The 13422-nt window shown below is 42.5% G+C and overlaps 1 protein-coding gene across 45 annotated transcripts in view; it reads right to left on the bottom strand.

Moving 5' to 3' along the window:
* FHOD3 (formin homology 2 domain containing 3) overlaps nt 1-13422 on the bottom strand; it is a 482508-nt gene that overhangs the window by 18207 nt on the left and 450879 nt on the right. For 22 of the 45 annotated variants that reach the window (XM_011526190.3, XM_047437844.1, XM_047437838.1 and 19 more), the window contains 2 exons: nt 6703-6895; nt 1232-1406 (listed from right to left, as the gene is read on the bottom strand). In XM_011526190.3, the coding sequence (XP_011524492.1) occupies nt 1232-1406; nt 6703-6895 (368 nt within the window). Of the gene's footprint in view, nt 1-1231; nt 1407-2872; nt 2897-6702; nt 6896-13422 lie in introns of all 45 variants that reach the window. The other 23 variants (XM_011526189.2, XM_011526195.2, NM_001281740.3 and 20 more) reach the window with 2 other exon arrangements.

Here is a 13422-nt window from a genome sequence, read left to right as displayed (position 1 = left end):
AGAGCCTACGAAAATGTCTGGTGGGCGCAATATTCATCTGTTCACTCACTACTGCATTTCTGTGATGTGTATGGCAACCCACAAACCAGCTTACCTGGCATGCTGTTTTACTTGCTCTCCCAGCATAATTACTACTAGCACCCCCTTTCACACTCCAAAGCATCCCAGCTTGGACAAGATTATATGGTTTCTTCTAGCTGCACGCATAGTGTGTGCTAAGCAAACACCGAGAGAAGAAAGCCTGTCTCCAACAGTTGATTCTCCTTAAAGTTGACCATCTTTAGTAGATCTAACTGGGGTCTCTGGAGTGCATGGAAGAGAAAGAGTGGCCTGGTGATAGGGACAGTGCCCAGAGGATGAGGTGAATGGGAACGGGACAGGCAGAGGAGCGGGCATCCTGAACTGAGGGAGCAGCATGAGAAGAGCGGGGACTCTAGGACGAGCAGCGTGCGGAGAAGCGCCGCGGTGACCATGCAGGGTGAGGGAATGCCAAGCTTGGGAGATAGGACAGGACCTGCCTACAGGGGGCCTCCAAGAACAGTGTGAATACTGTGGGCTTCACCCTGCAGGCAGTGAAGAAACCCAGGAGGGTCAATGGGTTATCAGGCCAGACCAGGGAAACACGAGGAAACATTCACAGATGTCAAATGCATCTTAATCCCTTCTAATGATAAAAACAAATCTGGAAACTCGAATCTGGCCGCCATTTTGAAGTTTTAGTTTTTGTCTCTGCCTAAGGATGTGAAAAAGGGACAAAGGGGTAGTGCTGTAGGGCAGGGTTGGCAACCTTGTCCTGTGTAGTAGATGTTTTAGGCTCTGTAGGTCCTACAGTGTCTGCCACAGTGGCTCAACTCTGCCAAAGTAGCCACAGACACTACACAAATGAGTAAATATGGCTGTGTCCCAACAAAACTTTATTTCTAAAAGCAGGGGGAAGGCTGGATTTGGCTTGCAGGTTGCAGTCTGCCCACCCCAGCTCTCCCTCAGGAGGTCATCCCCGGTAAGGATTCCCTCTGTGTAAAGTGAGGTACTCTCGTGGGAATGTTTGTTTTGGAGATGAAGCTATTGAAGGTGGGTCAGGAAGACGCTAGTGAGGGAATGTGTGTGGTTAGGTTGGCACTGGAGCCGAGGGCCAGTCACAGCCGTGGACCGCAGCCTGCGATGGAGACCGGACCCCCCCAGAGCGGCCAACCTGAGAAGACAAGACGAGCCCCGCGCAGCCAGGAGTTACCTCGGCTTGCTCGGCTGCGTGTGCGGACGCCCAGCGCGGGGGTGGCGTCCTCCACGGAGGGGGACGAGGTTTTCAGCACAGCCTTCATGTTCTCGTGCTCAGCCGCGTCCTCCGCATAGCTCAGACCCTGCGGCTGGCTTGGGGGCGCCGGAGAACTGCCGGAGAACTTGCCAGACTGCAAAACCAAGGGGAAGTTAGCAGGTGAGGGAGACTCCCCAAAAAGACAACTCAAGCTTCTAAAACCCGTGGTTGAGGAAAAGCTCCTCTCCTCTGTCTTGTTTTGTTTGCAGACACATTCATTACGGCAGTCACTGAAGTTAACTAATGACAAAACATCTGTGCCTACAAGAAGATCTAATATGAGACAGAAAAGCCCCCGGCCCCAGAAGGACCACCACCCATTCATCCATTGTAGCCGTCTCTGTCACTCACTCAGATCCCCTCAAAGGGTGGCTGTCAGGAGCAACTGGCATTGGCTCTGGGAAGGTCTAAAACCAAATGTGTTTCTTACACCAAAGCCCTGATATAAGAATTGAAATGAAATATGCCTTGTTAACCAAGCATATTGAGCTTTATTTTTTTACTTAGTGTCAGAAAGCAGTTAAATTTTTCTTAAGTATCACTTACGATGGTAGAATTACAAAAGTGGGATTCAATCACAGAATCCTAGCATGTTAAGAGTTGGGAAGAATTCTTCTAGACCTAGTCCCACCTTGCTTTTATGGAAAAGGAAACTGAGGCCCTTCAAGAATATGTGGCTTGCCAGGGACCCCAAAAGAATTGGTATCAGGGCCCAAAACAGAACAAGACACATAAATTCATGCTGATTTTCTCTAACTGAACAAAAGGTCAGGACATATATATTTTAAAAGAGGTATGCTGGAATACCATACGTACACAATGCCGAACACCTGGATGAAGAACAAAAAGTCAGATTAACATTTGCAAAGAACACCTCCACAGACTGCTGGCTTCCTTTGTCACCCAGTGTCTCAGGCATGGCAACAGGGTTGGGGACAATCTGTGGCTTGTAGCATCTACACGGCTCTCTCCTTATTTTCCAGGGCCAATTAGCCCCCTTGGTCTCTGGTTCTCGCACCTGCATCCAGGGTCTAGGGAAGAGCCCCTGCCATCTGCCACTGCATGGACGTTGGCCCATGGGAGCCATTAACACCAGCAGAGGAAATGGTCACACATCAGAGGCTGCCTACTGGCTGGGGACAGAGACTCTAGCCTGGCCCTTGGCCACTGCCCCACTTCCTCTTTGATTTCAGGACTCTTCATGTGGTTATTCCAGAATCTAGTTCTCATATTTAAGTTGCCAAAGGAAAATTCTCTGTCCACTTTTCCAGCAGCAGGGAGAGACCTGCTAAACCTGCCACTTGTGACATGGTTACTGATTAGCTGGGCCTCAGGGACAGCTCGGAAAATGCATTTAACCCTTCAGTCCCTGGCAAACGTGGCATGATGAGAGCCCCTGTCAGGTGGTTAGTGATCACACGAAAACCAACCAGAAAAATGTCCATGCATTGTTTAAAGCACTGAATGGTGCTGACACTTCATGCTGATTATGTTAGGTTAGACCAGAGCATACATGAGGTGGTAAAATGTGGCATTCTTCATGTTCATAAATGGTCATACCTCAACTTCCTCCTCCTCATCAGTCTACCCGAGAGGACAGGACAGGACAGGACGGAAAAGACAGAAGGGATTCTTAGAAGGCACAGAAGTCAGCAAAAAGATCATCGCAATGTCACATAAAATTCCAAGTAAATAAACTGGTCACCACAACCAGGATACATCCTCTTGAGTTGGGAGCTGCCAGGCCCCACCCTCTTGTCCTCATCTGGACACTCCTTGTGTGAACTCCAAGATCACCCATGACCAGAGGGACTCACACGGCTCCGGGCCAATCTTCTGGGGCTGTCCCTGAGGTAACAGTCAGCTAACTCGATTCCCTGACCACCACCAACGTCACTCGCAGCTGTGCATCGTGCTGAGAGTGTCCTGCTCTGTGAACCATATGGCTTGGCTGGCCACATCCTTATGAACCCATCACGGCCTGACAGTCATCAAGGCCCCTCTAAGTGGACTGGCTTCCATTTGCTTGGCTCTGCCTGTCAGCTGCCGGCCCTCCCATCCCATCCCGAGCGCAGGATCCCTCCCTGCCCAGGCTGCTGGTTCTGGGCTACCGCTGGTCCTTCCATATGCAGGCCAGCCAGGACAAGTGAGACAACTGCTCCAGCAGCGTGTTCACATTACTCTCTCCTCAGGAGCATGAAATTAATTTATTTTTAACATCTCACCTGTTTCTCATGGGAGCCACCTGAACTGACTCTCCATACTTTTAATTACTTTAGCACTAAACTGCTTTAAGTTACTTTAAATAAAATATCTCTCTTCTAACATAAATTGAGAGTGAAAAGTCATGTCAATCTCTTGATCATAAATTAAACACACTTTCAATTTAGGAGTGTCTGTGAGGTTACAGGGCCAGGCCAGCAAATCAGATTGAAGTGTTTTGAGAATGAACTATGCTTTTGGAAGTTAAAATGACAAACCACTTCCAGTCCGTAACATTCCACGCTGCCTCATCCAAATGGCATTGTGACAAGAGACAACAGTCCTGTTCCATTACTCTCTTTTAAAAAATTCTTACAGTTTATTTATATAACCTGGGATGGCTGGCATTTTTCCAGAAATTCACACATGTTCAAGGTGCTACATATATAAAATATTGGCCCGCTCAACATCCCTAAAAGTAATCATCATTCCCTTTCTATAGAAGAGGAAGCTGGCATTGAGAAGGGTTAAGGGTCTCACCCAGGATTACCACTGCCCTCCAACGTGGGAGGCCTGGGATTGACCAGCCTGGGTTCTCACAGCCCACCTCACGAGTGTGAATGCGGCAGAAAGGCTGTAGGTGCCTCGTGTTGCCTTGTCTATGTCACCATTTGCTCTAGGACCAACTTTGTACACAGGATGAGGAATTAGTTGCTCAGTGATCCTGGCCTGGGAGGACCCCTGGATGATGAAAAGGAAGCCTTCTGAATACCCAGAAACGGGGAGAAGAAGAGGGATAGGCACTCAGGAGCTGGTGCGTGGGGGCTGCAGATTTTACCCTCAGACCTCTCATCTCTAAATGTTACCACTTGCATCCTCATTTTATTCAGCATGTACATTCAAGGTGACTTACTACAAACAGTTTTCTCTAAAATCTCTTCTAGCTCCAACGTTCAGGGGGTCCGTGATTCTAAGTCTACTGTCTGGCTTTGTTTTCAGTGGTTTAAGTTGTGTATATGCCATTTTTAACCAGGTTATGATGTCCTTGGGATATAAGCTTTTCTTTATACTCACATCTTCCTTGGTGTCCCAGGCACTGCTGGATGCACAATGAGCCCTTAATAATTGAGTTGGAAAAACCCAAGGCTGTAGTTTTCCTTAAGGGACAATATCCTAATGTTCCAGCAGAGGGCAATCCTTCTACATGAATGATGCCACTTTGGCCATTAAAAACATGGACTAGGCTGAGAATGAATCCTGACGAAGCCTATCCTGTCCAGATTTTAATGGGAATTTAAATATTTTTGAATCAAACTCTAGAAACATTCACCTCTGTTTATGATTGGGAAAGCCAAATGTTTTAAGAGAAAGAATTTAAAAATTAGTGGGATCTGTAAAAAATCTCAAGAATTTAGCAAGAAATTTTGATGTGTCCACATAACTATAAGCATATTCGGCTTGTATGTGTCTCATAGCCACAAAATAAGCAATCTCTTTTTTTAAACTTTCAAAAATAATACTATGAATAAAATGTGGGCCACAGTTTGCCCAAGTGGATCCAACATGCTTCCTGGGTTGCTGTCTTCCAAGAGGCTGTGGATCCTACTGAACTGAGATTTCAGGAAAGGATACAGAAGACTCTTGGCTGATGGCACTGGAATTCAGAACTGCTTGGGTGCAGGGTAGAGCTGTAGAAAGGGCTCCTTCTGCACAAAAGTGACCTGAGCACTTCCTAAAGGTCCAGAAAATTCCAAGAAAACAAGGAGCTTACACAAAGGTGGATGGTAAGAGAAATGATTATCCCGTGGTTCTTAAAATTATAACAAAATTGCTAAGTTAATGTGTCTGGCCTTCCATGTAAGTCAGACCCTCAGGAATGTGGACTTCTAGAGAGCAGTAACCAAGTGCCCTCTGCTTGGCTGACTACATACACACATGTCTGTGCACATAGGGCGGCTTCAGTGAGGTCTTCCTAATTGGTTTTCTTCCTCCCCCAGCAAAAATCTGCCTAACTAGGGTTCAGTTGAAATGTGTAACTGCCCAGATGATGGCACGCCCTGTGGCTTAATCCTTTCCTCATTCCATTCCCTCTATTGCCAGAAGTCCATGTGCTACTCAAATGCACGCACAGATGGGAGAAATCCATGGGCAACAATCCAAACCATGAAAAAAAATCACACTCTAGAGTCCTTCAACAAGTTCCAAATATGACCTGTCAATATCAAAAAAGATGACTTTATTATCGTTGAGTCTGTTCAAGAAAGAATAAATAGTGACTAAAGGAGGATTCCCAGAAAATTTCAGCCTTTTGCCTGGAACTGACCTTACAGTAATGGATGAGGTAAGTGAGATGCTAGCCTGGTTTTTATGTTTCGTAAAGGCACATTAAGAAAAAGGAACCTGCACTATGTACCTCCGTTGGTCTCTGGCATCGTCATGCATCCCTTTACCCTCCACTTTACTGAGCATCTGTCATCTGAATATCCACTGCCCCCCAAGACCTAGGTAGGCTTGGGGCTGAGACAGGAGAGATGGGGAAAGAGCCCGGGAGCAGGGGAGACATGTAAGTGTGCAGGGGCTCCCCAGGGTGCTATGGGGAAACTCCTACTGGATTCACTGTCCTCTGGGAACTCTTTCCACCCTGATGTCCTGTGATTCAAGGGACTGGCAAGAGCCCATTAGATTGTATCTTGGAGCAATCACATCAGTTTATTCAGATGCCCACAATGGGTGGTCCATGTGTCAACTGATTGGTTACACAGCACCGTTATGATGATTAAAATTCTGAATCAATGCCCCAATCAGTACATTTGTCTTTCTATGATAAGCGGCATTATCTTTTATATTTTACTTGTCTTCATCCAACTTTACCCACATCACAGAGGACAAAAATAGAATCAAACATTTAATGTCATCAGCAACATGCAACACACCAAAATGGGTTCCATGTTCCTCTTCTAGCCACACGTTCTGAACTTTACATCTCCTAGCTCCTTGTTATTTAGCAGATTTTCACAGAAATGGTGGAGGAGTACTTTAAGAGCACTTTTTAAAAGAGATAATTTTTTATAGTCAAAAAAAAAAAAAAAAAAAAAAAAAAAAGCACAGCTTTTAACTGTGGGGAGGATTCCTGACTGATCTTACTTTGAAAACGAATGACATAAGGAGAGGGATTGTGTGAAACTTACATCGGTGATCATCTTCCCTCTGGTCTTATTTCTCTCTCTGTGGTTGGCCCGTTTCTGTTTCTGCTGCAAAACCCTTTCCCTGGTTGTGCGATACTCTAGTGCAAATTCACTAATAATCCTGCAGAATTTGTTTATGTTCACTTCCCGAATTGCATAAGGTGGATGGCCCATAAAGAGTAAAAAGGAGTGGAATCTGCAAGGAAAAAACAGTAATAGCAATGACTTCCGTTTTAAGAAATAAAAATTACTTGTCTAAAATCTCTCAGTAAGAAACCAATGTGAGAACTTAAAATAAATAATAATAATAATAATAATAATAATAATAATAATAATAAAGAAACCAACAAGCCACACTCTCAGTAAGAAGACACTGTCCTTCATTCCTGGGGCTTTGAATTTCAAGAGTCTTCTCAAGTGAAAATGCAAACAGAAGTTCAACTCACTTTCCCACTGATGGAGATTATATCTAGGTGGCAGGACCTCAACAGATTACTTTTTCACTTTGCGTATCTGTGTTTTAACATTTTTCTAAAATGGATATATGTAAAACTTTTGTAAGAAAAATGTTAAAGTGGTATTTTCGAAAAGTATTGCACCATTTCTAGATTATATGACAATTCAATAGGAATAAAGAAATGTTGCTTAGAAATTCTTTGGAATGAACACTTAAAATAGACATGAACATATTATGAATAACATGTTAATTCATAGCTTCTAAGTAGATGCTGTTTTCTGAGTAAATATTTTTAAACATTTCTTGTGATATTATATATAATATTAATTTAATTAGGAAACACCAAAGAAGCAGAAAATAAATTTATTTTAACTACTTAATTTGTAAACAAAAATTATTAAACATTATTTGTTTTAAAATGTTGTAAAAGAAATTACATGAGCAGATAAGTACCCAAATTTTAGTTATTAGGAAATGAGAAAGAACACAGTGGGAGACAGAGGGAAAGCTTTCTGTGGAACAAACAACATTACGCAAATGATACCACTATTTATAGACAAAAAATTTTGATCACTCTAATTTGCACAGCTTGAATATGGATTTTTTAAAATAAGGGACACTGGCTTACTCTTTTTGAGACGAATAATGAAGTAAACATACAACTTGTATTTAAAGTAAAAGGGCCTAAAAAATGCTATCCAAAACTACATGACTCTTAGAAGAAAATAAAGTAGAAATCTTCATGACTTTGGATTAATGTGCTTAGATATGATACCCAAAGCAGAAGTGACCAAAGTAGATAAACTGGACTTCATTAAACTTAAAAACTTTTGTGTTTCAAAGGATATTATCAAGACTAAAAAGACAATCTAAAAGATAGGAGAAAATATTTGCAAGTCATGTGTCTAATAAGGGACTTGTGTCAGAATATATAAAGGAATCTTACAACGCAACACTAAAAAGACAAATAAAAAATGGACAAAGGATTTGAATAGACATTTCTCCTAAAAAGATATGCACACGGCCAAGAGATACATGAAAAAAGCTGCTCAACATCACTAAGGAATACACATCAGAACCACAAGGAGACACCACATACACCCACCAGGATGGCTGTAATAAAAGAGACAGGCTAGAACAAATGTTGGTGAGGATGTGGAGAAATTGGACCCTTTCCACAGTGCTGGTAGGAAGATAAAATGGTTTAGCAGCCATAGAAAATGATCTGGCAGTTCTTCAAAAAGATAAACAGAGTTTATTACATGACTTAGCAATTTTTCTCATTTGCATAAAAAGAAATGAAAATATGTGTACACACAAAACCTTCTACACAAAAGTTCATAGAAGCATTATTCACAATAGCTGAAAGTGGAAACAACCCAAATGTCCATGGAAAGATAAACTAAGTATAGCATTGGATGGATATAATGCATGGATAAACTAAATATAGCATTTCCAAATAAGGCCCTGGACGACTAGCCCTATCACCTCTCTGACTTCATCTCTTGTGACTCTAGTTACACTGGAATCCTGGTTATTCCCTGAAAAAGCCCACCTCAGAGCCCCAGACACCATGTGTAGTGTGCAGGAGCCCTGGAGGGACACAGAGGCCAAGGAACTGAGAGCCTGCAGGGCCTGTGGGGAGGGGTGAGGAGGCCACTCCACAGGGTAGGACCACAGGCCTGACAAGGTATCCAGTACCAGCTGTTCCCCATGTGTAGAATGTTTTCCCTACTGACAGCTGCATGGATGGCTCTCACTCATTCCACAGGTCTCTGCCCAAAATACCACCTCCTCCGAGAAGCCTTCCATGACCACCCTGTGTCAGGTCACTACCTAACCATTTATACTCTTATTTTTTCTTCCTGGCTGTTATTACCACTTGACATTATATATTAGATATATGATATGATATTAGGATAGGACAGTACAGTATAATATAACAACTATTCAAGATCTGTATGCAGGAAGATTTGAGGGGAGAATCCATCAGCCTGCAGCTAGCTAACCACTTCACCTCATTCTAATAGATTAACATTCTGGGTCCTATTTTATACATAAGTACAACCCAAGATTCTTTATCCTACACTTTCTAGAGCATTGTTTTTGGATGCACAGGGAATCCAAACTTAACATATAAATTGGAAATGTTATTTAAGCATGTATTTTACAAACAAGGAGAGTAACAACAAACAAGTAAAGGTCTGAAAAAGATCCAGATATACATTTGAAAAGAGAGAAACTATGGTATTCCTTCAGAAGAACAAAAAGGATATGACTTTGAGGCCATAAAACTTTTAAGGAATTTTTTTCAGTTGAGTTTGTAACTTTTAGAATACATGATATGAAGATTGTATGGTTATGGGCAGGCTGGCCCCCCTAACCAGTAAGCCAAAGCACAAGTCAAACATCTTTGATTTGTTCCATCATCTGACTCTTACTCAAGCCTGCCACTGTCTAGCCCAGAATGGGAGGGGTGGACTTTGGGCAATGGCACACCAGTCTTGGTGTTTACTTGTCTTCTGCCTGTCTCTCCCCCTTGAATGGCAGTCCATTGCTGTAGTTTGCTAGGCCTCCCAGGAAGGCTTTTGATATGGTTTGGCTGTGTCTCCACCCAAATCTCATCTTAAATTGTAGTTCCCATAATTCCCATGCATTGTTTAGGGACCAGGTGGAAACAATTGAATCATAGGGGGCGGTATCCCCCATCCTGTTCTTGTGAGAGTAAGATCTCACGAGATCTGATGGTTTTATAAGGGCTTTCCCGCTTTGCTTGGCACTTCTCCTTGCTGCCGTTATGTGAAGAAGGACGTGTTTGGTTCCCCTTCCACTGTGATTGTAAGTTTCCTGAGGCCTCCCCAGTGGTGCAGAACTGTGAGTCAATTAACCTTCTTTCCTTTATAAATTACCCAGTCTCGGATATGTCTTTATTAGCAGCATGAGAATCGACTAATAACAGCTTTCTTCTCTTCCTCTCCCCAGTCCCTCTCTGTGCCTTTCACAGTGCAACTGTAGCCTAATGAATCTACAGGAGTGAGTGGGTGGGTCTGTACATCCAGAGAGTACAAAAGGATAAAAGGAAAGGTTAATATGCACGTTTAAGAATTAAAGACAAAACCCACATTATTATCTCAATAGACACAGAAAAGGCTTTCAATAAAATTCAACACCCTTCATGTTAAAACACTCGATAAACTAGGTATTGAAGGAACATACCTCAAAATATAATAATAAGGGCCATCTATGACAAATCCACAGCCAATATCATACTGAATGGGCAAAAGCTAGAAGCATTCCCCTTGAAAACCAGCAGGAGACACGGATGCCCTCTCTCACCACTTCTATGCAACATAATGTTGGAAGTTCTGGTCAGGGCAATCAGGAAGGAGAAATAAAGCGCATTCAAATAGGATGAGAGAAAGTCAAACTATCTTTGTTTGCAAATGACATGATTCTATATCCAGAAAACTCCATCATCTCAGCCCAAAAGCTCCTTCAGCTGATAACTTCAGCAAAGTTCCAGGATACAAAATCAATGTACAAAAATCACTAGCTTTCCTACACACCAACAACAGTCAAGCTGAGAGCCAAATCAGAAAGGCAATCTCATTCACAGTTGCCACGAAAAGAATAAAATACCTAGGAATACAGCTAACCAGGGAGGTGAAAGATATCTACAATGAGAATTACAAAACACTGCTCAAAGAAATCAGAGATGACACAAACAAATGGAAAATATCCCATGCTCATGAATTGGAAGGATTAGTGTCATTAAAATGGCCATACTGCCCAAAGCAGTTTACAGATTCAATGCTATTCCTATCAAACTACCAAAGACATTCTTCACAGAACTAGAAAAAAATTGTTTTAAAATTCATATGGAACAAAAAAAGAGCCTGGATTACCAAGGCAATCCTAAGCAAAAAGAACAAAGCTGGAGGCATCACACTACCCAACTTTACAATATAGGGCTACAGTAATTGCGACAGCATAGTACTAGTACAGAAACAGGCACATAGACCAATGGAACAGAATAGAAAGCCCAGAAATAAGGTCACACACCTATGACCATCTGATCTTTGACAAAGCTGACAAAACAAGCAATGGGGAAAAGACTCTCTATTCAATAAATGGTGCTGGGATAACTGGCTAGTCAAATGTTGAAGATTGGACACTTTCCTTACACCATATACAAAAGTCATCTCTAGATGGATTAAAGACTTAAATGTAAAACCCAAAACTATAAAAACCCTGGGAGACAACCTAGGCAATACCATCCTGGACATAGGAACAGGCTGACAAAGCAATCACAGCGAAATTTACCAAAAGCAATCACAATGAAAGCAAAAATTGACAAATGGGATCTAATTAAATTTAAGAAGTTCTGCACAGCAAAAGAAACTATCAACAGAGTAAACAGATAACCTATAGAGTGGGCGAAAATTTTTGCACACTATGCATCTGACAAAGGTCTAATGTCGAGCATCTTTAAGGAACTTTAATTTACAAGAGAAAAATGAACAACCCCACTAAAAGTGGGCAAAGGACATGAACAGACACTTCTTTTTTTGAGATGGAGTCTTCCTCTGTCTCCCAGGCTGGAGTGTAGTGGCACTGTCTCGGCTCACTGCAAGCTCCACCTCCCAGGTCATGCCATTCTCCTGTCTTAGCCTCCTGAGTAGCTGGGACTACAGGTGCCCACCACCATGCTCAGCTAATTTTTTGTATTTTTAGTAGAGACAGGGTTTCACCGTGTTAGCCAGGATGATCTTGATCTCCTGACCTCGTGATCCACCCACCTTGGCCCCCCAAAATGCTGGGATTACAGGCGTGAGCCACCATGCCCGGCCCCGAACAGACACTTTTTAAAAGAAGACATACATGTGACCAACAAGAATATGGAAAAAAAAAAGGCTCAACATCACTGATCATCAGAGAAATGCAAATCTAAACCACAATGAGATACCATCTCACATCAGTGAAAATGGTTATAATTAAAAAGTCAAAAAATAACAGATGTTGGTGAAGTTGTGGAAAAAAAGGAACACTTATACTCGGTTGGAGGGAGTGTAAATTAATTCAACCATTGTGGAAAGCAGTATGGTGATTCTTCAAAGAGCTAAAAGCAGAACTTCCATTCGACCCAGCAATCCCATTACTGGGTATATATATACCAAGAGGAATATAAATCATTCTACCAGAAAGACACATGCACACGAATGTTCATTGTAGCACTAATCACAACAGCAAAGACATGAAATCAACCTCAATGCCCATCAATAACAGATTGGATAAAAAAATGTGGTACATATACACCACGAAACACTATACATCCATAAGAAAGAACACGATCATGTCTTTTGTGGGAACATGGATGGAGCTGGAGGCCATTATCCTTAGCAAACCAACACGGGAACAGAAAACCAAATATCACATGTTCTCATTTATAAATGGGAGCTAAATGATGAGAACTTATGAACACAAAGAAGGAAACAACAGACACTGGACATGAAGGTGGAGGGTGGAAGGAGGGAGAGGAGCAGAAAAGATAACTATCGGATACTGGGCTTAGTACCTGGGTGATGAAATAATCTGTACAACAAACCCCCATGACATGAGTTTACCTATGTTAACAAACCTTCACATGTATCCCTGAACCTAAAATAAAAGTTAAAACAAATGCAGGTTTGAACATCCAAAACAAAATTTTCTTAGCCAGGAAACAGTTTCAAAAAGTAGGTTTTACCCAAAGAGACACCTTTTGAAACTTTTTGATCTGACATCAAAATATAAGTATTTAGGCAGGCTCATTTGCATGACTAAGATGATCCCTCTGGTTACCAGCTGTAAGGCCCTGAATAGGGTCCTTTCTGTGCCTCAGTTTCCCAATGTGTTAAGTTTAAAAAAAAAAAAATCACAGCCATCCTCAGCTATGATCCTGAGGACTGTTGGTGGGAGGGGGAAGGAAAAATGAGGCACAGTCCTTGGGGCTCTCAGTCCTCCATCTCAATTTCAACAAGAGAGTCCTGCTTTAATCAGTTCTACATACAGCGCTCCAGCTAAAGACTTCATTTGAACACAGGGTTCTACGGTTTAGATACTTTGGACTGGCCACTTCCGGGTACCACCTCCCTTTAGCCACGCCCCTTTTACTACCCACACCAAAACCACAGTGAACTTCTGGCTCCTCCTGGTCATCCCCAGTAGGATGTGGACAGGTGAGGCGGGAGCAGCCATCATCTGGGTGACCAGCTTACCAAGGAGAA

Source organism: Homo sapiens, chromosome 18, assembly GCF_000001405.40.
Source record: "Homo sapiens chromosome 18, GRCh38.p14 Primary Assembly".
Classification (NCBI taxonomy): Eukaryota; Metazoa; Chordata; class Mammalia; order Primates; family Hominidae; genus Homo; species Homo sapiens.
Note: the sequence above shows the minus strand (reverse complement) of the source record. Positions and strands in the feature narration are given on the sequence as shown.